A 25,313-nucleotide genomic window follows, 5' to 3' on the forward strand; every position below is an offset into this window, starting at 1 on the left:
TAGCAATAGACTCACAAACCTAATAAGTTGACTTTCAGAAAAGAGGCAAAGGCAATGGACAAAGATTATCTTTTAAAAATTGTGTTATTTTCTCCTGCCTCGTGGCCACTACATTAATTGTTTTTTATTCCTCTGGTTTCCTTTCCTGTGTTTCTCCTTTGCACTTCAACTGCTGTTCTGTTTGTCTGTCTGCCCCACCACAGTGCGATATTTCCCACAGCAAGGACCAAGTGTCTTTGTGATATTTGCTATGTCCATCTCATCAATGATAAACCGAATCAAGAAAATGTGGTACACATGCACCATGGAATACTATGCAGCCATGAAATACTATGCAGCCATGAAATGAATGAGCTCATGTCCTTGGCAGGGAGGTGGATGGTGGTGGCGGCCATTATCCTTAGCAAACTAATGCAGGAACAGAAAACCAAATACCGGATGTTCTCACTTATAAGTGGGAGGTAAATGATGAAAACACATGGACACATGGGAGAACCATCACTCACTGGGGCGTACTGGAGTGCGGGGGTGGGAGGAGGGAGAGGATCAGGAAGAACAGCTCACGGATACTGGGCTTAATATCTGGGTGATGTGATGATGTGTGCGGTAAATCACCGTGGCACACATTTACTTGTGTAAGAAACCTGCACATCCTTCACATGTACCCCTGAACTTAAAGTAAAATTTGGAAATTAAAAAAAAGTCAATATCTCAGAATCCTTATTTCTATGTTTTGGTCTTTGTGTCATTTATCTAAGCATTATGGTGACATGAAAGCTGAGGCATAACAACAGTTAGTATGATTAGCAATTTAGCAGGATTATAGCTCAGTATGATATAACATCAACTACTAGTATTGAATTGCATTCAACTCCTTGAAGTGCTTAAGGAAAGTTGGTAAGAAAAAGTATTCACACTTGAAAACATTTTTAAAATTCATGTAAACTGGATCAACACTGATTACCACAGATGTCACTGTCACTAGATGCTAATGAATTACATAATAGTAACCATAAAACCCAGTCAAAAATAAAGGGGGAAATAAAAGGAGACATATCAAAGCATCATCAGATGAATGCAGGAACACCCACATGAACACACCCTGCAGTTAAACTGACAATTTAAACATCACTGAGTGCTATTTCAAGCATTATGTAGAAAGCTACAGACAACAGTGAACTTATTCTGAGCACGTCTTAATCCATCATCTTCACAGATGGCTATAGAAATGGCCTGTAAACATTTTGTCTGATAACCGCTAAAGTAGTGACGTTCAAACTCTTTTATGACAATGTGTGAGAAACGCACAGTTTATATATAGTCGACTAGGCAAATAAATATATATATGTGCTTGGGGATGTGCAGTGAATATTGTATATTTGTATATTCTGTGTGCAGTGAATGCTACTTAGTAATTTATTTTATCTCCGTTCTTTAAAATGCTGTTTTTGGCTGACAACATTAATCTTATGATCGACCATGGATTAAAAACCAGTTTAGAAATGATTAAAGCCTTTTCAGAGAACATCTTGAATGGTTGATAAATGTTGCTATAGTATATATCCAAAAACACATTAGAACCCAATTTTGTCCGCCTCCTTAGCAATTCAGTGTTTTTAGACAAAAATGTCGTCTTTGATATGGGCCACAAAAGCCACTACAAAATAGACAATTACTGATGAAATGTGTGTTTCATCTGCAGATATCTGTTTCTCTTTTGCAAAGGTGAAGTCTTACTTGGACAGATGGGAACTCACAGGCAAAAAGGGACAGAAAGTACATATGACCTCTTGTCCTCTTGGTATCACGTGGAGGCTTTGCTTGGGCTGCAGCATACGTGAATGTTATGCATTTCCTGCATTCATGGAGACCTCCCTGTGAGTGCACAGGGACCTCCATTCCCCTACGGTGGTCCCATTTTATGAGGCAAGTGGGAGAATGGCACGGAACATGGTAGGTAGTAAATAATTTGGCCTCAACCACAAAGCAATCTGAGCTCACATGACAGTGTTTACTCTGGTACCCTGAAACTTGCCAGCTGCTCAGAATCTGTAGACTTTGTCCCACCCACCCACCATCCTGTGGAAATCTATGTTTGGTCATAGATTCCCATGCGTGGAGGATGGGAAGCTCTGGTCATGTGGGAAATTGAGCCCTCTCACAGGTAGACTGGCTGTGTTGGTCCCAGCTCTGTTTCCTCCCTTAGCAGCTAGAGAGTTGCTAGGGTCATGTATCAGGCAACTCTTCTTGTCTCTGCAGTGTCTTTCATACTGTCTGCTGCTTCCTGTTTGTCACAAGGGCTCCTTCACAACTTTCCCAATACCAATGCAATTATGATCCTTTGAAGTTATCCAGGAGGTCCGGAGTTATAGTCCACAGGAAGGGCAGCGGGAAGTTCAAATTTGGCAAGAAATTCAAGCCTGCCCTTTGAAGCTGGAGTGAGGCCACTCAGGAATCATTAAAGTCCAGGTCTGCAGGTGATGTTTAATATTAAGTGTCAACTTGGTTGGATCAAAGGGTGCAAAGTATTGTTCCTGGGTGTGTCTGAGACGTTGTTGCCAAAGGAGATTAACATTTGAGTCAGTGGACTGGGAGAGGTAGACCCACCCTCAATCTGGGTGGGCACCGTCTAATCATTTGCCAGTGCCACTAGAATAAACCAGGCAGAAGAACATGGAAAACCAGACTTGCTGAGTCTTCCAGCCTCCAACTTTCTCCCGTGCTGCATGCCTCCTGTCCTCAAACATCAGACTCCAGGTTCCTCTGCTTTTGGACTCTTGAACTTACACTGGTGATCTGCCAGGGGCTCTCAGGCTTTCAGCCACAGACTAAAGGCTGCAATGCTGGCTTCAATACGTTTGAGGTTTTGGAACTCAGACTGCCTTTCTTGCTCCTCAGCTTGCAGACAGCCTATTTTGGGACTTCGCCTTGTGATTGTGTAAATCAATATTCCTTGATAAGCCCTGCTTCACATATACATCTATGCATCAGTTCTGTCCTTCTGCAGATCCGTAACTAATACAGTGTGAAAGAGTACCATCCAGCCATCTGATGGCATGACCATTTGCTAAATAGTTGCCCACAGAAAGTCTGAGTCCAGAAATCACTATTTCCTATTCTTTGAGCACGTCTGAGTGCACTATATTAAAAACTGGGGTTAATAAGAAACAAAATAAAGTAAAATTTAATAATGATAGTGCCCTTGCCAAGAAAGAATAAAAAGATAAAAGTTAAATTAATTAAGTCATCATGATTACAACTGCTCTCACCTTTTAAAAAAATCTTTGAAACGCCGTAATTCCTACTCACATTGCTTTTGAGAGAGAGACAGAGAGACTGAGCAAACTTTTATTTCCAACTCAAGGTATTTCCCTAAGAGAAGCCCAGGTGAATGGAATATATAGGAGTCATTTCAGCAATATATCTCAATTTATTTATAAAAGCCTGCATTCTCATCAGGCCCCCCTTCCTATCCTTCTGTTTCATATACTATTTCCCACATTAAACTGCTAAGTAATACAAAAGTAATAAAAACAGGAATCATGCACACAGCTTACTGTCTACTTTAAGGAAAGTTTATACACCACTGGCTTCATTAAGATAACTTTACTAATACAGGAATCTCTTGCTTAGGAAAATAAAAGTTGCAAAGAACTTTACTGTTAATTTCAGCAACTGTCTGAAAGATCCATCAAGTCTTCAGTCAAAAGATTCAAATGACATTTTTCAACCCCAAAACACATTGAATCATTGCCTAAAAGTGTTTGTCTTCTTGGCTCCACCAGTCCTAAATCATTATGATTCCTATCTAACTCCAAACAAACAGTCCCCCACTTTAAAAGACCCACTTTACACCAGATTTCAAAATGAGAATAAAGATACTTAAATCCCCTCGTCTGACATACTAGTGCTTTGTTGAAGTAGTGCTCTCTTTTACAGCGTTATGCAAATAATATCAGCCCTGTCTTACGAACAGGCCATGTGGCTGATATTTGGAGAGTACGGTATATGATCTGGTTAGTCACCACTGCATGACATCATGTCACAGTAGACTGTGCCTAGATCCTGTCATCAATATCTATGTATATTTCTGAATATACATATACGGTCTGAATGACCTACAAGTATATTCAGGCAAATCAGTCACCAGTCCAGAGATGTAAATGTTCAATAACACACCTCCCCATAAATTTAGCACGTGTGAATATATTTAGTCTGCAGAAGAGTTTATTCCATTACATTCATTAGAAGCATGGCAGAAAACTGAGAACCAGAGGAAAAAAGTGAATTATCAAAGCACGTATAAAAATTGGTCAAGGTAGGAGGATCGCTTGAGCCCAGGAATTCGAGACCAACATGGAAACGGAGTGAGACCATGCTCTAAAAAATGAATTTACTGCCCACGTGTGGTGTTCGCACCTGTAGTACCACCCACTTGAGAGGCTGCAGCATGAGGATTATTTGAGCCCAGGAGATCCAGACTTCAGTGAGTTATGATCATGCCACTGCCATCCAGCCTGGGTGAGAAAGTGACACCCTGTCTAAAAAAAAAAAAAAAAAAAAAAAAAAAAAAAAAAAACATTTATAAATAAGGATATAAAAATAGTTTATTTCACAACAGGCTTTTCTGAAACACGTCCTCCATTAAGGGTGACATAGGACTGTGTGTTCCCAATGTTTCTCAATGCATGAGATTGTTTGGGCAAAGAAAAAGAAAAGCTCCCTTAAGTCCCTTTCTTTCCACTACAAACAACTTGTGGGTGCGGGTATGAGAACAGCAGGAAAACCACGGTCGGCCCTGCAAGTAGCAGACTCAATGGGCATGCCCCTTGCTAAGCAAGTTCCTGCTGCCCATGTGCCTTGCTGTCTGCTTTCTGTCCCTGCAGAGCTGTGGAAGGAAACGTTGTGACTTCTTTCTTGCCTACTATGACACAACACGTAGGTCCCAGATCAGTCCTCCCAGAAGTTGAAGTGTCAGTGAGTGTGAGGGAGAGCGGAAGGGCTTCCTGTGGGTTGGACCACTCGGTCTATGGCCTCATAGAGGTCGTCATCCTTCTACTAAAAGACAGTGGCATCACCATGGCCTTGATGTTGTGGGGTCCTGGAGAGGGGAGGAGTTAAGGCCGTAGAGGCGAGGAGGGTCAGATGATCAAGGAATGAATTGAAGCGTGACATTATTTGCGGTATTTCAGTCTCCGAAGCATAAGAAACCACAGAGGATGGGTTCCAACATCCTTAGTGGGGACCTTGGAAGAAGCAGAGGACAGTGAGTGCAGGAACAAGGAGGTGCAGTGCAGCCCTTTAAGGCAAGAGGGGAACTCACTGCGCACGCTCCTTGGGTGCCCGCCTCAGTGCACAGGTTCACTGGGCGTCTTCCCATCTGCCTTTTTGCCCACGTGGTGAGTGCCTTAGAGCTGTGAGCCTGCAGCTCGGTCCCTGAGATCTGCATTCTTTCTCCCCTACTGAGACGCAGCCGGTAAGTCCGCAGGCCCCTCCTACTGGGAATTGAAGTGTGAGTGAGAGTGAGGAGGAGACACTGGGGTTCCAGAGGGCCGGGCAGCTTGGTCGGTGACTCTGAGGGAGAAGGGCTTTGATGTTGTCGTCCTTCTCATGTGGCCCTGCCACTATGGGCCTTCTTGTCTTGCCGGAGTGCGAACGAAAGAAGAAGGAGGGCCTCGGAGTGGGGCGATGCTGGGGTGCTGCTGGCGGTATTCGAGTCCCAGAAACCCCTGGAACCCCCAACAGAGGACAGATTCTGAACTCCTCAAGGAGGATCAGGGCTGGGAGGTGTGGGCGGTAAGGAAAGGGCCTGCAAAGTGGGAACACTCCAGACTGGTTCCCGCCACCCCAAGGTTTGTGTAGTGACTCCCAGTGGCGCCCGACCTGTGAGGACCGCCCAGTGCTGTGTGGCAAGTTTTCAACTTCATCTTGGACGTTCGAATGCGCGGACGGGGCTCTGCATTCCAACAAAACTCGATTTTGTGGGGGAAATGGGCCTAGCAAATGGGTGCGTGACAAAAGCTGTGGACACTTTAATTTGAATTCTCAAGCTGTATTTTCCTAAGTGTCTCACCATGGAGAGTCCAGTTGTGAAACCAAACCTCATTGGAAATACTGTGTGTCTCTTGCCCTAAGCCCTAAGGCATTGCTCAGCTCAGTAAAGCCCTAAGGCATTACTTGACGAACGTAAGTGGCTGTGCAAGTATTCGATTCAGAAGGCATACACACTTATACATGCTCTCTGACTTACTTTTCAATGTCTTACCAAACTTTTATAAATTGCAAGTTAACATTTGGCCATGGACGTAGTATCCTCTCACGTGCATTTTTCCAATCACAGTTTTCTAATTTTTGCTTTGTTTTGTTTTGATTTGGTTTGGTTTTTTTGAGAGGGAGTTTTGCTCTTGTTGCCCAGGCTGGAGTGCAATGACATGATCTCGGCTGGCTGCAACCTTTGCCCCTGGGTTCTATCGATTCTCCTGCCTCAGCCTCCCAACTAGCTGGGATTACAGGTACCTGCTACCACGCCCAGCTAAGTTTTTGTATTTTTGGTAGAGATGGGGTTTCACTATTTTGGCCAAGCTGGCCTCGAACTCCTGACCTCAGGTGGTCCACCCACCTTGGCCTCCCAAAGTGCACACTATTCTGTTTGCAGACTGAAATATGAGTTGGCGAGGAAGATGATATAGAACCAAGATGATGTTTACGACTTGCTCAGCTGATTGGGCCTATGCTTGTGAGTGACTTAACATTCAATGTTTTCTATTAGCAGAATTTTTTTGTGTGTGATAGTGTTGTTGAACTAGCATAGATGCACTGATAAAGGTCTCCCATGTTGACAAAAAACCATTGCGGCATCTCATGAAGGAAACAGTAACCCAAGAGGACTACATACTGGTTTTGCCTGGATGTGGGAATTTGTGTTCCCCAGATTTGACTAGTGATTTCCTCCTCATGCTTATTCATAGCTCATTACACTAGCACATAGCTAGTGTTGCAGCATGTCTTTAAACATGCATATGATCAGAAGTATCTATGTAATCTGTATATTCGTGTTATTGACATGCATTGATAAGAAAAATTTTTTATCTGCACATGCACACAGAAAACCCCCTTTTCCCAGGAGCCTAGTGTGCCAGAGCCTCAACAAGAAGAACCACCAGCTGAAAGTCAGGATAGTACATCTGGTCAGAAGACAGAAGAAGATCAGGGTGCAGCTGAGATTCAAAGTGGTGGGAAGAGAAAGAAAGAATGTCTACGGGGGGAGGAGGCCTATGTGTGCATCATGCCTTATGCCATGACCAGTAAGAGGAGGAAAGAAAACACTAGGAAAGGATCTCAAACATTTGCTGAGGGTTGGCTGGAAACGTGACGGGTATAGTTTGCAGCTTCCTGCAGTCCCTGGATATGATTAATCTTCTCTTTTTCTTCGAGATGCATTTTGTAGGCTTGAAAGTACAGTCCTTCCTAAATCAGATGAAATCATTTAATTGGTTGTATAAAAATGTACATTATTTCACTAGTTTAACTTGATATTCTTAGGATGTTGCAGTGAGATCTTCTCAGCCATGGTATTCACAGTGTTTTAAGCACCCTTTAATAGCATGTGGAGTGCCAAGTCGCCCTACCTTATAATACCCTGAATAAAGCCCATTTGCAAAGGGATGTTAACCTCATTTTATAAATAAAACTGAGGCCCGGTGTGGTGGCTCATGCCTGTAATCCCTGCACTTTGGGAGGCCGAAGCGGGCAGATCACTTGAGGTCAGGAGTTCAAGACCAGCCTGGCCAATATGGTGAAACCCCATCTCTACTAAAAATACAAAAATTAGCTGGGCATGGTGGCACACACTCGTAATCCCAGATGCTAAGCAGGCTGAGGCAGGAGAGTCACTTGAGCCCGGGTGGCATTGGTTGCAGTGAGCCAAGATCGCACCACTGCACTCCAACCTCGGTGACACAGCGAGACTCTGTCTCCAAAAATAAAAATAAAAATAAATAAATAAATAAGAAAACTGAGAATCAGAGGTTGAGACTTACCAAGAACACTTGGCTCATGGAGAAGGAATTCATATTTTGTTCCAAGGTTTGCATTCTATTTTAGAAAATGTGAATGATTTTGCTTAAAAATGCTTAATATTCAAATGTGTCTGTACTATAAGGTAATTTGGTATCGGCTCAGGGCAAAACGCAGTTCAGTGAAGCAAGATAGCAACTCCAGAAAGGAGGCCAATAAATGACAGCCACTGTTTCCTTTGATTTATATTTTTGACCGTATGTTTGATAAAAGCTGGATAATTCAGGACAATGGCATACAGGTAACTGTATTTGTAGGATTTTGAAGGGGCTTTTAAAAGTTGTTGCAATATTTTTATAATTAGAAAATTCTAAGTATGATAAGATTATCATGAAACAGAAACTGTTTCCTCAACAGATAGCATTTTCAAACTAATCAGAGACAGAATTTGGGCCATGGGTTATTTTGGCAATTCCCTGTTAAGGGGTTTCCAGAATATGACTGTCAACAATGCCCATTAATTTATTTGCACTTCAGTTCCCATACTCTCACTGGAAGACAGTGATTTTGCTTTTATATTCCGTACTTTTTTCTTAATGACATTCATGTATGGAAAGTCACATATAGCGCCTTTTGACCTAAGAATAACTTTGATTAAGTTTAACCCCAACATTTTCAAGATACCTCAACAGGAGATGAGTATCAGGACTATAGGATTTGTCATAAGCTCACCAATACATTGATCTAATCCTTCAGAAAATTACATTTAAGTTATGATTAAAATGCTATCCACGAGGCCATCTTCAGGTTTCCTAGGTAGCTGTGTGTTTATAATACACAATGGTAAAGTATGGGAAATGCAGGTGTGCTGTGACTTATCCTCAGATTGTCATTTAAGATAAGATATCATAATACAGGAAAACAAACGGGGACATCTTTGCATCACATTTATTACCACAGTAGCCTCTAGGCTTTTATTGCATCACACTGAGGAAAAGAACAGGATCATTTCCTTATTTATCATTCTGCTTTGGCTGCTCCAGTTGATTTCCTTGGTATTTTTTAGTGCCTGACCTGGAAGCTGATCTCCAGGAGCTGTCTCAGTCAAAGACTGGGGATGAATGCGGAGATGATCCTGATATCCAGGGGAAGATTCTGCCAAAATCAGAGCAATTTAAAATGCCAGAAGGAGGTATGTTATCCATTAAGATTCAAAATTACGTGCTTTCTGTATTCCACAATATTACACTTTTGACAATAAAAAGAGAGAATATTACTGCCCCTCCAAAAACTGAGTTCAAATGCAGACTTTCTTCGAAAGGTAGATCAGACCCTAGAAGCCTGACTGCAAAACTGAAACACTATCAGATACAGACACAAATTGGGTCAAAGCCATATTGAACCATTGAATAGCAAAGCATTTTGTTACTTCTAAGTATAACCAACAGCTAACAATTTTCAGATTATTTTGCAATTTCTGTTTCTCACAAATAAATAATGCATTTGTAATACCACTTTGTATGATATATGCTGATCCCTGAAGGAGATTCTAGTACCAGCTCCAACATAATTTGTGAGATTCTGGACAAATCACATCAATCCTACACCCATTTTTGCTTTTATTGAAAATAGTGAATGCACATAAGATACATTAAAATCCATTTCAGTGCTGGTTTCTCCATGCTTTCGTCTTGTTGCAGAGAATATACAGATATTCTGATTTTCATGATTTGTTTATCATAACAATCAGCTTTAGTCCAATTAAAATATCTGAGTTGAGACTTCATTGCTCCTAAGAAAATGAGAAGGCACTCTGCTTGATGCTTGTTTTCCTGTATGGAGACCTTCATGAGTGTTCTTGGATTTTGTCAAATCCTGAATTCTCTCAGGCTCTTAAACAATGATTGCATTTTTTTTTCAGATGGGGTCTCACTCTGTCACCCAGGATGGAGTGCAGTGTTCTGATCTCGGTTCACTGCGACTTCTGCCTCCCGGGTTCAAGCGATTCTCAAGCCTCAGCCTCCCATGCATTTGGGATTACAGATGCCTGCCACCATGCCAACCAATTTTTTTATTTTTAGTAGAGACGAGGTTTCACCATGTTGGCCAGGCTGGGCTCGAACTCCTGACCTCAAGTGACCCACTCGTCTCGGCCTCCCAAAATGTTGGGAGTGATTATAGGGGTGAACCTCCTCCTGCGCCAGACCCAATGATTACATTTTAATGTCTTCCCGCAGTGAAGCCTTGAATGACTGAGTAATAAAATCGATAGAGACAGTCAGGTTTTTGTGACCCATGAAGTAGGGAGAATGCATGTAGGTCAGTCATGCTCAAGGTGGTTGTAAGATGCCTGTGCTAAGCATGCTCCCTGTCCTCCTGTCAGTCTTCATGAGCTACTGTGTGTAATTAGATTGAAGACACATATGGTAACCGCTAACCATATCAGAGGTTATATTACAGGCTTCTGCTTTGAGTCATCAGATGATATGATTTAGAGTTCAAAGTCTATAATGTACTAAGTCCTGAGTAGTCCACATAAGTATTTTTCATACATGTTTTCCAAATTGCTGACTTAATTAGAAGAACTTCTGAATTTAAAGGAAGCACTGCACGTATAGGGGAGAATATCTAAATGTTTTTACTTCACACTGCTGAACCACTCCCTTTGACTATTTACATTAAAGGATAGCTTGTAGGCGATTTCCAGGAGCCTATTGAACAAGCCTGAATAGTATTCTTAGGACAGTCATAGCATTATATGCATATCCTATTAAAATAGACAGCAAATTACATGATACAAGAAAATAATACTAAGAAATAAAAAAAGAGTCACAAAAGAAACTTAAGGGAAAGGGAAACAGGCAGTAAATGAAAGGTACGAATCATTAACAAAAGGAAAACTAATCCAAAAGTAATAAATTTAACAGATCGTTCTTTTGTGAAATATCTAGGAAGAGAGCATCCAGTAGCTTAAACAATCTTGAGGAAAATGGAAAAAGCACAACACGGAATATGAACAAGACACAGATATTGAATATAAGGCATGATTGAAAGGGAATACATTCTTGAACACTAATATTTTCAGAGTGTGGATGAAATGGTTGACATGCTAGGAACACCTACATTATTTAACGTATCCCTTTAATACCTGAATATCTGAACATCACAAAGACTGTGCATGAGCTTGTGGAATTTGCTGGTCATCCCTCAAAACAGTTACTTTTAGAAGCAAATATTTAGCTTTTCCAGATGCCTTACTCTCCGTTTTCTTTTCCCCCTCCATTTTTTTTTTGCCACACTGGTTATGATGTATAACTCTTTCACGTTTTAATGTCAATAAAGATCCTGATACCTTAAAACTTATATGACCATTTAATTAATTATATAAACGGGAATACATTCTGGTGATTAAAGTGTCATTATTCATATCCTCATGAGGACTATAGGTGAAAACTGGATGCAAATGTTTACTTTATGTTAAAAAAAAACACAGAAGGGTAACCTAGCCCAAAGGAATATTGCTGCACTTCAGCACAATAGAGAAAAAACAAATGCAATACTGGCCTTCCTATTCATTTCACTTATGTATTTCCTAATGTGACATTAACTGTTTTCTCCAAAGATAATTTTCAGACTTTTTGCAGGAGCTTATTGGACATCAAGACCATAGTTTCAAGCCAACACATTAAATTATACATTTTTCACAAATTCCTTCTGTTGCTTAGGTTTTTTATGTCCTGGTCGTATTTTGAGTAAAACTCTACAAAATGTTTGCTATCTACTCTAAGCACCTTTTAAATAGGTCCACTTGATTTAATGTGTTCTGACCTCAGACTGTCTTTTGGTTTCCTTCTAGCACTAAAAGAAGGGTGTGTTTAAAAAATGTTACTAATATGTACCCTTGGAAGTGTATCTTCAAAGTCTCTACAGAGGTTTAGTTGAATGTTAGCCATAGGGATGCTGAAGCACGAGGATGTCTTGAGCTTGGGAGACTGAGACATGCTTGGGCAACCTGCTGAAACCCCCTGTCTACAAAAATAAATGAATGAATGCATGAATGTATGCATGTATGTATGCAGGTGTAGTCCCAGCTACTCTAAATGAATGTATGCATGTAATGCAGGTGTATACTCCAGCTACTCTGGAGGCTGAGGTGAGAGGTTCCCTTGAGCCTAGGAGGTTGAGGATGCAGGTAGACATTTTCATGCCACTGCAACTCCAGCCCGGGTGACTGAGACTGTTTTAATAAAAAATAGTATCATTTTTGGAAGATGGCCAAATAGGAACAGCTCCAATCTGCAGCTCCCAGTGAGATCGATGCAGAAGACGGGTGATTCCTGCATTTCCAACTGAGGTACCTGGTTCATCTCATTGGGACTGGTTGGACAGTGGGTGCAGTCCACGGAGGGTGAGCTGAAGCAGGGCGGGGCGTGGACTCACCCGGGAAGTGCAAGGGGTCAGGGGATTTCCCTTTGCTAGCCAAGGGAAGCCATGACAGTCTGTACCTGCGCTTTTCCCACAGTCTTCACAACCGGCAGACCAGGAGATTCCCTCCTGTGCCTGGCTCAGAGGGTCCCATGCCCATGGAGCCTTGCTCACTGCTCCCACAGCAGTCTGAGATCGACCTGTGATGCTGCAGCTTGGCGAAGGGAGGGGCGTCCGCCATTGCTGAGGCTTGAGTAGGTGATTCTGTGCTCACAGTGTAAATAAGGAGGCTCGGAAGCTTGAACTGGGCGGACCCACTGCAGCTTAGCAAGGCCTACTGCCTCTCTAGATTCCACCTCTGTGGGCAGGGCATATCAGAACAAAAGGCAGCAGTCAGCTTCCACAAACCTAAACATCCCTGTCTGACAGCTCTGAAGAGAGCAGTGGTTCTCCCAGCATGGCATTCGAGCTCTGAGAACAGACAGACTGCCACCTCAAGTGGGTCCCTGACCATCATGTAGCCTGACTGGGAACCCCCAGTAGGGGCCGACAGACAGCTCATACAAGCAGGTGCCCCTCTGGGACGAATCTTCCAGAGGAAGGATCAGGCAGCAATATTTGCTGTTCTGCAGCCTCCGCTGGTGATACCTAGGCAAACAGGTTCTGGAGTGGAACTCCAGCAAACTCCAACAGACCTGCAGCTGAGGGGCCCGACTGTTAGAAGGAAAACTAACAAACAGAAAGGAATAGCATCAACATCAACAAAAAGCACATCCACACCAAAACCCCATCTGTAGGTCACCAACATCAAAGACCAAAGATAGATAAAACCACATAGATGGGGACAAACCAGAGCAGAAAATCTGAAAACTCAAAAACCAGAGCCCCTCTTCTCCTCCAAAGGATCGCAGCTCCTCGCCAGCAAAGGAACAAAACTGGACGGAGAATGAGTTTGATGAGTTGACAGAAGAAGGCTTCAAAAGGTCAGTAATAACAAACTTCACCAAACTAATGGAGCATATTCTAACCCATCACAAGGAAGCTAAAAACCTTGAAAAAAGATTAGACGACTGGCTAACTAGAATAAACACTGTTGAGAAGACCTTAAATGACCGGATGGATCTGAAAACCACAGCACGAGAACTTCATGATGCATGCACAAGCTTCAATAGCAGATTTGATCAAGTGGAAGAAAGGATATCAGTGACTGAAGATCAAATTAATGAAATAAAGAGAGAAGACAAGATTAGAGAAAAAAGAGTGAAAAGAACAAAGCCTGCAAGAAATATGGGACTATGTGAAAAGACCGAATCTACGTTTGATTGGTGTGACTGAATGTGATGGGGAGAATGGAACCAAGTTAGAAAACACTCTTCAGAATATTATCCAGGAGAACTTCCCCAACCTAGCAAGGCAGGCCAACATTCAAATTCAGGAAATACAGAGAACACCACAAAGATACTCCTCGAGAAGAGCAACCCCAAGACATATAATTGTCAGATTCACCAAGGTTGAAATCAAGGAAAAAATGTTAAGGGCAGCCAGAGAGAAAGGTTGGGTTACCCACAGAGAGAAGCCCAACAGACTAACAGCAGATCTCTTGGCAGCAACCATACAAGCCAGAAGAGAGTGGGGGCCAATATTCAACATTCTTAAAGCAAAGAATTTTCAACCCAGAATTTCATATCCAGTGAAACTAAGATTCATAAGTGTAGGGAAAAGAAAATCCTTTACAGACAAGCAAATGCTGAGAGATTTTGTCACCACCAGGCCTGCCTTACAACAGCTCCTGAAGGAAGCACTAAACATGGGAAGGAACAACCGGTACCAGCCACTACAAAAATATACCAAATTGTAAAGACCATCGACGCTATGAAGAAACTGCATCAATTAACAGGCAAAACAACCAGCTAACATCACATTGACAGCATCAAATTCACACATAAGAATATTAACCTTAAATGTGAGTGGGCTAAATGCCCCAATTAAAAGACACAGACTGGCAAATTGAATAACAGTGAAGACCCATCGGTGTGCTGTATTCAAGGGATGGAGGAAGATCTACCAAGAAAACGGAAACCAAAAAAAAAAAAAAAGCAGGGGTTGCAATCGTAGTCTCTGGTAAAACAGACTTTAAACCAACAAAGATCAACAGAGACAAAGAAGGCCATTACATAATGGTAAAGAGATCAATTCAACCAGAAGAGCTAACTATCCTAAATATATATACACCCAACACAGGAGCACCCAGATTCATAAAGGAAGTCCTTAGAGGCCTACAAAGAGACTTAGACTCCCTAAAAAAAATTTTGGAGGAATATGAAAGCACGCTGAAATAAGTGGAGAGACATACCACGTTAAAGGATCCCAAGACTTAAGATTGTCAATATGTCAGTTTCTCCCAAATAATCTGTACATTCCATGTAAACCCAATTAAAATACTTGCAAACTCTTGTTTCTATAAATTGACAAGCTGACTTCAAAATTTATATGGGAAAGCAAAGGGACTAGAATAGCCTAACAATGTTATAAAGGGCAAATAATATTGGAGTATTCACATTATCTGATTTCAAGATGCATTTGACAACTATGCTAATCAGGACACTGTGATATTGGCAGAGGAAAAGGCATAAGAGTCTGAAGCTAGATCTATATATGCAAGTTAAATAGATTTTTCCATAAAGTGCCAAGATAATTCAGTGGGGAAGGATGTTTTATTCCAGGAATGGTGCTGGAACAATTGGACATTGATATGCAAAAAAATGAACCTTAATCTTTGCCTCACGCCATATACAAAAATGAACTCAAAATACATCATAGAACTCAATGTAAAAGCTACTGTTACAACACTTGTAGAAGAAAATGTAAGGGAATCTGCAGCATCTTGTAAGACAAAGATAGACAGGATACAAAAAGCACTAACTATGAAATAGTACATGCATACATTTTTAAAATTCTATATAATTATGTGCTACCCTCATCCAGTGACTACTTACTTGCCCAAGAATTATACAAATGATATGAAGAGGTAATTAGAGCTCTAATTTCCTAGAAAGTTTTCATTCAAATTCTCCATACCAGCTCATGAAGACAAAACCCCAGCTTTAAATTTAGGCTTTAGAATAACCCCATGAGGAGCATTGATTATTCATTATTCTAAAAAAAATGTGCCCTCCTTCCAGCCACACAGACTCATTTCTTGAGTCCCAAAAGAGCTGAAGTGATAACAGAAAGATCATCCAAGGGGTCAAAGGTATTCATGACATAGTCTCTCTGGAACATGTCCCAGGGAAATGTGGACACAGCAACAATCTTGGCAACAATAACAGCTAGAATTGATTGGAAATTTATGATATGGCTGGCAATGTCCTGACAACTGTGCATGTCTTAATACACTCAATGCTCTAAACTGCCCCAAGAAATAGATGACATTACTAGTAGTATTTCCATGATACTAATGGAGAAAGGAGGCACAGAGATGATAAGGAACTGTCTCAGTGTCACCCAGCAGTGAGTGGTGGAGCCAAAGGCCACAGGCATGGTGAAAACTCTACTGAGCTGCATATTTGTGTAATCAAGAGTAAGATCCAAAGGCTACTGCAAAACTTTAGAATGTTAGAGCATGAAACTGCACAGGCAAAAGACATTTGATTTCTTCAGAAATCTTTAAGAGATGGAGACTTGAAAGGACTGGTCTGGGTATCATTTGGAGACGGCATCCTGAGAGTGTCATTAGAATAACAGCCAGCATGTGAGTGTCCGTCTCCTCACCTGAAGGTCTTGAGTTCGTCCATCAGAGAAGGCACCAAACCTGTCCCTTCTATACTTTTACAAAGGAGACAGAAGCCGTGTAGCTGGGAAATGAGACTATTCCCCTGCTCTAATAGTTCTCAGACAAGTTTCCATGAAAGTTAGAATCCAAGATCTGTTAAAAGTGCAGATTCCAGGAATCACACCCAGTGAAGCTCATTTAGTGTGGCCACAACTGTGTCCTAGGATCTGGGAATTTACTCCCCATCCTAGGGAACTTTCAGAAACCTTATTAAATCCCTCAGGTAACAAGACTCTCTGCAATATACCCAGAAAAATATTCCCAGGACAGACATGAGGTTGAGAAGAGCGACCTCAACACACAGGAACACAGGACAGGATGAACGCAGTGTGAGACTCATCATAAGGGTAAGGCAGTGTATCTTATGAGAAGACCTCACAACTCTTACTGGCCTTTCTCCCCAGAGGCCTGTTTATCTCAAATCCCTGCTCCTCGTGGGTGGTGAATGGAGTTGTGTCAGGAAATGACCTTTTAGATCCCAGAAAGGCATGGGCTCCTCTCAGGGGCCACTGAACACATAGGATGGGGCGTGATGCAAGCTGTTGTTCCCCTCCCACCAGCCTTGGTTTCCTTCTTGCACCATCATGTGCTTCCACGGGAGCCTAGAGCAATGACACGACTTAGGGCCAATGTCTTCCCTTTTTAGGAGACCGGCCCCTCACCTGAGGAGTGCGTCTCCCCCTCTCTTCCTTTCAGCTGTCCTTCTCCTGATCTCATCTGCCATCCCACAGCAGACAGGTGTCCCTGGTAGCCTGACGACCTAGCCTGGCCCCTTCCTCCTGTGTCCCCACCTGGAGAGGGCTGTCCTCGCCAAGGGGAAGGACACTGATCCAAGGATCCCAGAGACATGCCTACCACAGAACCATCCTGAGCATCAATGTCCCATGGCAGTGCTTGACCTATGAAATGAAGCTTCACCACACACCCCAGCTGGCCGTGAAATATTTTCTTTCTTTTTGTCTTATTTGAGACAGGGTCTCACTGTGTTGCTCAGCCTGGAATGTAATAGAGAAATTGTGGCTCACTGTAGCCTTGAATTCCCAGACTCCAGCAATCCTTCCATCTCATCCTCATATACCATGCACAGGCCACCATGCCTAGGTATATATTTTTAACTTTTTTGTAAAGATGGGGTCACCCTCTGTTGTCCTGGCTGGTCTTGAACCCCAGAGCTTAAAGAATACTCACACTTCGATGAACCAACATGCTGAGATTTGAGGTCTGAGCCACCTCACCTTGCCATGAACCATTTTCTTATCACGGAAAGCAAGACAGAGGAGGAAGGTGCCTGCAACTCCTCCTGGGGAACATTGTGTCCTTCCCCTTGTTACTGAGCTGTTTCCTCTGTACTGACTGCAACATTGCTATGCTTTTGATGTAAATAAGAAGTTTGAGGGTACTCCTTTGCATTCCTAAACTTGCGGTTTATAGCCAGAACATCATTGCCCATTTTGGGGCATTTTGGAAATTTCTGAGGGTAGCTGTGGTTGTTGGAATTATTGTCAGAGGTTACTGGCATTTGGGGATTAAGGTTATGGGGAGAGGCAAAGTTTTTTTTCCTGAGTCTTAAATAAACTGGATTTTCCATACATGTCACTTCCCTGTAAACTGAGGGAGACTTATATGTTGCTTTATCTGGGAACTTATGAAGACTTGTTGACTGCTTTGGAAAATCACATCACTGCAGGGCATTTCATTCTTGGATTCCACTCTGATACAACATTCCAATATCAGTTTGCTTTGCACCTGTGCATGCCTGGGAAAAATAGAATGAGGGAAATCCAGCTTGTCTACCAACAGTATCTTTTCCAAGATAAGCTGTCAATTGTTGGGGAAAATGAAGTGGGAGATGTTCACAGTGTAATTTCCCTTGAGTTGGTGAAAACACCAGCTATGCCCCTTGCTGTTACTGCACTGAAAGTTCTCTTTGCAGATGTATCTCTCTCACTAGGTTCCCAGGTCCTTTGTGAAAGGTTGAAATTTTACCCAGTAGACCCCTATGTCTTTGGGATGGAACAGAGGACCTCACAGGCAGATGGAGGGCAGGGAACACTTGTGGAATTGTAGTGATCTCTACATGGTTGGATGATCAAACCCTAAGGCACAGTGATGAGCCACGTGGATGTCAGTCTGCAGAGGGTGGGAGGGGAATGCCACAGGCCTCTGCCTTAGGAGCCATGCATCAGAGTGATACCAGCCTGCAGTACTGATCTCAGTTATGCCCTTTAAGGGTCCCAGATGTAAGCAGCCTATTGGTTGGGGTTTCTCTGTTTGTGTGGGTGTTGAGGGGAGTGAGTGGAGAGATAGAGAGAAAGAGAGGAGATTTTGAGAAACTGTCTCAGGCAACTATGGGAGCTGGAAAGTACAAACTTTGCAGAGCAGGATGTCACCCTGGAGTCCCCTGGCAGAGGTGATGTGATAGCTCAAATTTAAGCGCAGTGTGGAGGCAGATGTTTTTCATCTTATGGAGGGCCCCAGTCTTTTTCTTTGAAGGCCTCCAAGTGACTGGATGAGGCTCAAACACATTGTGGAGGACAATTAGCTTTTCTCAAAGTCTGTTGATTTAAGTGTTAGTCTCATATCAGAACACCCCTTCAGAGAGACAGCTACATTGATTAAAGTGAAGAATTTCCTACGTAGTGTGGCCCAGCAAAGTTGACACATCAAATTTCCCATCATAGCTGTCTTGCACAAAAGCTATTAATGATGAATGTCTATCTTAGATAGGCAGGGGACTTCCTAACTAAGATTCTGTATTAACCACTTTTGTCCAGTCCAAGCCACCATTTCAGGCTCAGCTCAACTCTGGCCAGTAAGCTGTAGCTGCCATGAATGCCTTCCAGGGCCCAGGCAGGGTCCGGATAGTCGGGGGACACATGCAAGCACATTGCCAGAGGGCACACATGATACCCCTGGACACCAAGAGTTTACCCTTGTGAGAGCACCCCTCCGGGACATACATTAGTCAGGCAGAAGTTGGCCAAGGCCCCAACATGGCATCCTTCTGTAAGACCTTTCCTCTAGGGTTCCTCATCCAGTCCAAACAATGCATCTGCATCTTTGGCTTAGGGGAACTGTCAGAAGGCAGTCAGTTCAGCATAGTCATTGACACCAGTTCCTCATCTTCACAAGCATGAATGACTTCCATAGGTCTTCTGTGTTCAGGAGCTGGATTGCCCCTCCTGTCCCGGCTGATGTTGCAGCTCTGTCAGGTGTGATCCTAAGCTGAGTATTCAGTGCGGTTTCACCATTGGTCTTAGGGTACAGCTGTAGGTTCCTCACAGAAAAAGAGACTCTCCATCTATGCTGTCTGTCATTGAGTACCTCTGATTCACTGTCATACTGTGGGACTAGGGACATGGTGCTGACACAATGGTGATCTTGCTTTTGCTGCGTCTGCAAGCAATCAGTCAATTGGATCCATTTGAGCTCACTGTCTTCTTACCGGACAAATCTATGGATATGTGACAAGCCAGACTAACAACCGTATTGGTGATCCCTGTGGCCCTGTTAGCCACCACAGGGCTGCTTAGGTACTGCCTGAGCAATTGACACACAATTGTACTGAATTATGTGGTGTTGCCCAATCAGAATGTTGACTTATTCCTCATGGCATCACACAGAGCAAGGAGCAAAGTTTTCAGCACATACTACTGACAGGATTTTCCTTGTCACAGTTGGGTATTTACAAAAATATTTCAGAATTCATTCCATGTGTGACACCATTAATGAACATGTATATTTAAATCAAATAAGCTATGGAAGTCAAATGCATTTAAAAAGGTAACTTCGTATTTTTACTTGCATTTCACAAAGGTAGCTATCACTTAATATAGATGTAGTTGTAAAGGCAAATCAAGTGAAAAGATTAAATTTTAAAGAAAAAAATAAATAACTTGTAAACCAAATTTATGTGCACTGTAATGCCTTCTCGGTATGTTACTTCTTTTATTCTTCATAACAATCATTTAGTGTAAATAATCTCATTTCTAATTTAGAAATGGGGAAACAGTCCCACAGGATATAAGTACTTTGCTCATCATCTCAAGCCAGTGTGTCAGGGCCATGATGGAAACTCATGGGTATTCCATGTTATAGTCTGTGAGGAGACAGTGTAGCTGGGACCCAAGTCATTTTGCTCAGCAAGTTGCCCTGGTTACTTTCCCCTTTCTTCTACTAGGCCCTAATTCTTTCATTCAGCTCTACAGCCTAGGAACTTCTCACATACTTTGTGGCGAATGGGATCCCCTACATTTAGACTCACTTTTTATTTGAACCCTAGCTTTTCAGTCCTTTTGAACAAAAATATTTATAATCTCTGTAAAAGAGAGAAATCATTGCTAATTATAATGCCCTTGCCCTCTCTAAGCAGTGTGGATTTTGAGAAGGGGCCTTTACTGCAGAATTATCTTTTATGGTGTGAGGATACAAATGGAGCTCAGAGGTGTCAGTCGTGTATTATGTATTAGTAAGAGGGATATCAGGCTGGATCCAGGCAGCTGCAGGGGCTCCTGAATGAGATGTGGTGACTGTGAGGCTGATGGATTTTATGTAGATGAAAAATGAGGTTTGGTGCTTCTCCTTCCCTGACTCTTAATAATTTTAAAGAAAGGTCGGACGTGTTTGCATGAGATGTTGTGGACTTGCTCCACAGGGATTGAGACATCATTTCTTCTCTCCGTGTTTCCACTCACTGTTTCAGATGGCTTTAGTATTCTAGTTACATGTTTCTGTACCACAGTAAAATAGGTGTGTTCTCATTAATTTTTTAAAAATGTTTTTGGACCGGTCGGGCGCTATGTGACTCCTAAATGTAATCGCAGCAATTTGGGAGGCTGAGGTGGTCTGATCACCTGAGGTCAGGGGTTCAACACCAGCCTGGTAAACAAGGTGAAACTCCATCTCTACAAAAATACAAAAATTAGCCAGATGTGGGTGCATGCGACTGTAATCCCACCCAATCGGGAGGCTGAGGTGTGAGAATTGCTTGAACCAGGGAGGCAGAGGTTGCAGTGAGCCAAGATGGCACCATTGCACTCCAGCCCAGTGACAGAGTGAGACTGCATCTCAAAAAAAGAAAAAAAAAGTTTTTGGACCAATGGTTTCATCTAGGGATGCCTGTTAGGCCTATGTGCCATGTTTTGGGAAACCCCTCCTTCAAGAGAAGAACAAAGCCTCTTATCTTGAATAATGAAAAAATATATTTTATATATTATCCTAGATTTATATGAAATCATGTGATTACCACGAAAGTCAACATGTACAACACCAGTTCTACGTTCAACACTGTCAGAAGCATTTGCTTCAAGAAAGCGCAGACTGTGAACTTAGAACTTGAGTCCCCATATCTGCTTCTTACTAGAGTCATTTATTGTTAATTTTAGGAAACTCTGACTCACCTTATTAAAGAATTAAATGAGGTCAGAATCAATGAAACATAGCTCACAGAATTGGCTAATGGATAACACATACTCTATAAATGTGAGGTATTATTATTCCTGTTTTTCTTAGAGAACCCATTTTATAAGCCTCCAGAGTAGCTGGGACTACAGTGACATACAGACATGAGTACATTCATACAATCATTCATTTATTTTTGCAGGGGGGGGTCTCGCTGTGTTGCTCAATCTGGTGTCAGTCTCTGAGCTCAAGCAGTCCACCTCCCTCAGCATGCCAAAATACTGGATTACAGACATGAGCCACTGCACCTGGCCACAAGTTACAAAAGTGTTAACTACCTGGGAATAAAATGAATAAAAAATGTGCAAGAATTCTTTGGAGAAGGCTTAAAACTTTATTGAGACATTTTTCAGTCAAATATCTAATATAAAACCAGTTTGTGTTGTTTCAGCTTGTCTTCATTTAAAACTGTGGTTGCCCATCACCTATAATAGAAACATAACAGGAGGGGACATTACTAGCAGAACTGTATTCAGATAAAATTAAAGGTATGAGAAGGACACCGAAGTTTTAGTTTTACACAATGGACTAAAACTAGGAGCCTAAGAGTCACTCTATGGCTTATATTGAATTAGACTTCTGTAGAGACGTAATATGTCTGTATTCTCTGTAGAGAGTACATTTATTACTTATGAATAACTTCAACTAATGATTCATACCTGTCTTTTATTCACTACCTGTCTCCCCATAAGTTTGTTCTGTGGCTCTTCTACTATTATGTTTATTTCTTTGTATTATTTTTATTTGTCATGTAATTTTCTGTCTATTTTAGTAACATGTGCATTTAAGGCTATGATCTTCCTAAGAATACAATTGAGGCTTGTTCGATATGCTTCCAGAAATCGTCTGAAAACTATCTTTTAATGTAAATAGTCTAATGAAATGGTTCAGCAGTGTAGAGTAAAAACATTTAGGTAATTTCTCCCCTAAACATGCAGTTCTTCAGTTAAAATCAGAAAGTCTTCTAATTCATAGCCATCAATTGGCATTATATGCGTAAAAAATACTTATGTCAACTACCCAGGAATTAGTACCCTTAGAATACTTGAAATTTAATTCCTATCATCTGAGGTCTCAAGGCAGAAACCTGTAAAATGTAACCTATGATATGGTTGGAAGAGATTGTATCATACGTGTCTTCTATCTAATTGCACACAGTAGGTCATGAAGACTGACAGGAGGGCAGAGAGCATGCTTAGCACAGGCATCTTACACCTACCTTGAGCATCACTGACCTACGTGCATTCTCTCTACTTATCAGCCACAGAAATAAGACTGTCACTTGCCATTTTATTATAACGGTTTCTTCTGATTTAGCAAGGACAGTATTTTCAACATAGAAAATGTATCTCAAAGGTAAGAGATGATTCATTATATCCAGGGACTCCAGGAAACTACAAACTATACTTATCAATTTTCCAGCCAACTTTCAGCAAACATTTGAGACCCTTTCCTAATGCTTTCTTTCCTCCTGTTACTGCTCAAGGCATAAGGCATGATGCACACATAGGCCTCCTCCCCCCATAGACATTCTTTCTTTCCCTTCCCAGGACCTTGAATCTCAGCTGCACCTTGATCATTCTTCTCTCTCCTGACCAGGTTTTGGATCTTGACTTTCAGCTGGTGGTTCCTCCTCTCATGGCTCTTTATCACTGGGCTCCTGGGAACAGGGGTGTGTGTTTGTCCAGATAAAAAGTTTTGTTATCAATTACATGTCAATAATATAAATGTATATAATACATACATATTGTTGATCATAAGTACGTCTGAAGACATTTCTCCAACACTATACCATATACTAATTGTTCATAGAGTTACTCTTTTCACAGACAGGTTACTCTAATAGAGTTAACCTCAAGGGCTTCAGAAGCCATTTTAATTTATGTTGGGATGAATGTGTGGAATCATGGGATACTTTAATCATTGTACCTATACTAGTTCAACACTATCATGAAAAGGAATTTCTGCTAATGGAAAGCATTGAATGGCAAGGCACTCACAAGCATAGGCCCAATCAGCTCAGGAGGTTGTACATATCATCTTGGTCTAGGCCTATATGTTGATCTTCCTAGCCAATTCATATTTCACAGTGCGAACAGGAAACTGTGATGGGGAAAATGCACTTGACAGGATAGCTATATTTGACCACTTCCATAGCCAAATTTCAACTTGTAATTTTTTAAAAATTTGGTAAGACTTTGAATATAAGTCCTAGGGCAAGTATAAGTTTGTTTGCCTTCTGAATGAAATGCTTGCACATTACATTGGTCAAGCTAGCTGAGCAATGTCTTAAGGCTCTTGGCAAATGACACAGGGTATTTCCGATGAGGTTGGTTTCAAAACTGGACCTTCCACATAAAGACATATAGAAATATACAGCTAGTGAATTAAAACCGCAGTGGCCACGGCTTTTGTCACACAACCATTTGCTAGTCCCATTTCTCCCCTAAAATCGAGTTTTGTTGGAATGCAGAGCCCCATCCATTCGAACCTCTACGGTGGAGTAGACAAGTTGAGACGCATCCCTGAGTGCTCCTACAGACCTGGGAGCTGCCATCAACAACTTGCGGTGCTCTGAGTTTCCAGGCCCCTTCCTTATCTCCCACCTGGCCCTCTCTGGGGTCCCTCACGGTGAGCCTGGAATCTGTCATCTCTCAGGTGTTCCAGGCCCTTGTGGGCCTCGGATACCTTCAACAGGGCCCCCAGCACTCTCCCCATCTTCACCTGATCCCCCTGAAGTCCATGGCCCACCTTTCTCCTTTGTTCTGAACCCACCATAACAATGCCTGTGATGGTGCCGACACACGAGGAAAAGGACAATCACCTCATGACCCTTCACCCTGAGAGGCCAAGGACCATGCTGCCCCATGCTCTGGAAGGCCACGTTCCCCTCCTCACACTCACCCACACTTCCACTCCTGGGAGGGCTGGTCTGTGGACCTACGGACTGCATCTCAGTAGTGGGAGAAAGTGACCCTCACACCCTCACAGCTCTGCGACATTCACCACGTGGCAAAGGGGCCGACTGGAAGATGCCCAGTGAACATGCGCACTGAGGCAGGGGCCCCAGGAGCATGGGCAGGGAAGTCGGTACCTGCCTTGTGGGCTGTGGTGCCCTGCCTTGCCTCACCTCATCCCCCACTCTGCAGGCCTGCCCCCTGCCCCAGGTCACCACTGTGGACTTCAAATGTGCCCTCCGTGGGCGGTTTCATATGCCTCCGGAACTGAAATACTACGAATAGTTTTCCCCTTCAAAATGCACTCCATCTTCATCAGGCCCTCCTTCTCTCTATGGACCTCCTTCCTCCTGTCCAGGCCCTGCACGACAGCAAGGCCGTAGCTCCTTTGTCGCCTGTTAGTAGAAGGACAGGGACCTCAAGGCCCTTCCCCCTAGGAGGCCATGGACCGTGCCCGCAGGCTCCTTCTCACACTCTCTCACACTTCAACTCTGGGAGTACTGATCTGTGGACCTACTGGCTGACTCTTAGCAACACAGAAGGAAGTCACGATGTCTCCTTGCATAGCTCTACAGGGACAGGAGGCAAATAGACAAGGCACCTGGGCAACAAAGGACGTGCAC

General features: G+C 42.5%; 1 pseudogene, besides 1 other annotated feature; it reads left to right on the forward strand.

Moving 5' to 3' along the window:
• Positions 1-6,663: 6,663 nt before the first annotated feature.
• LOC107985640 (X antigen family member 5-like) lies at positions 6,664-17,037 on the forward strand (annotated as a pseudogene).
• Positions 24,249-24,749: an enhancer, noted in NCBI's record as "H3K4me1 hESC enhancer chrX:52591748-52592248 (GRCh37/hg19 assembly coordinates)". NCBI's record gives its function as "activates a minimal SCP1, AML or CMV promoter by ChIP-STARR-seq in naive H9 embryonic stem cells {active_cell/tissue: H9 hESC(naive)}" and the evidence as "EXISTENCE:reporter gene assay evidence [ECO:0000049][PMID:30033119]".

This window comes from Homo sapiens, chromosome X (assembly GCF_000001405.40).
Source record: "Homo sapiens chromosome X, GRCh38.p14 Primary Assembly".
NCBI lineage: Eukaryota > Metazoa > Chordata > Mammalia > Primates > Hominidae > Homo > Homo sapiens.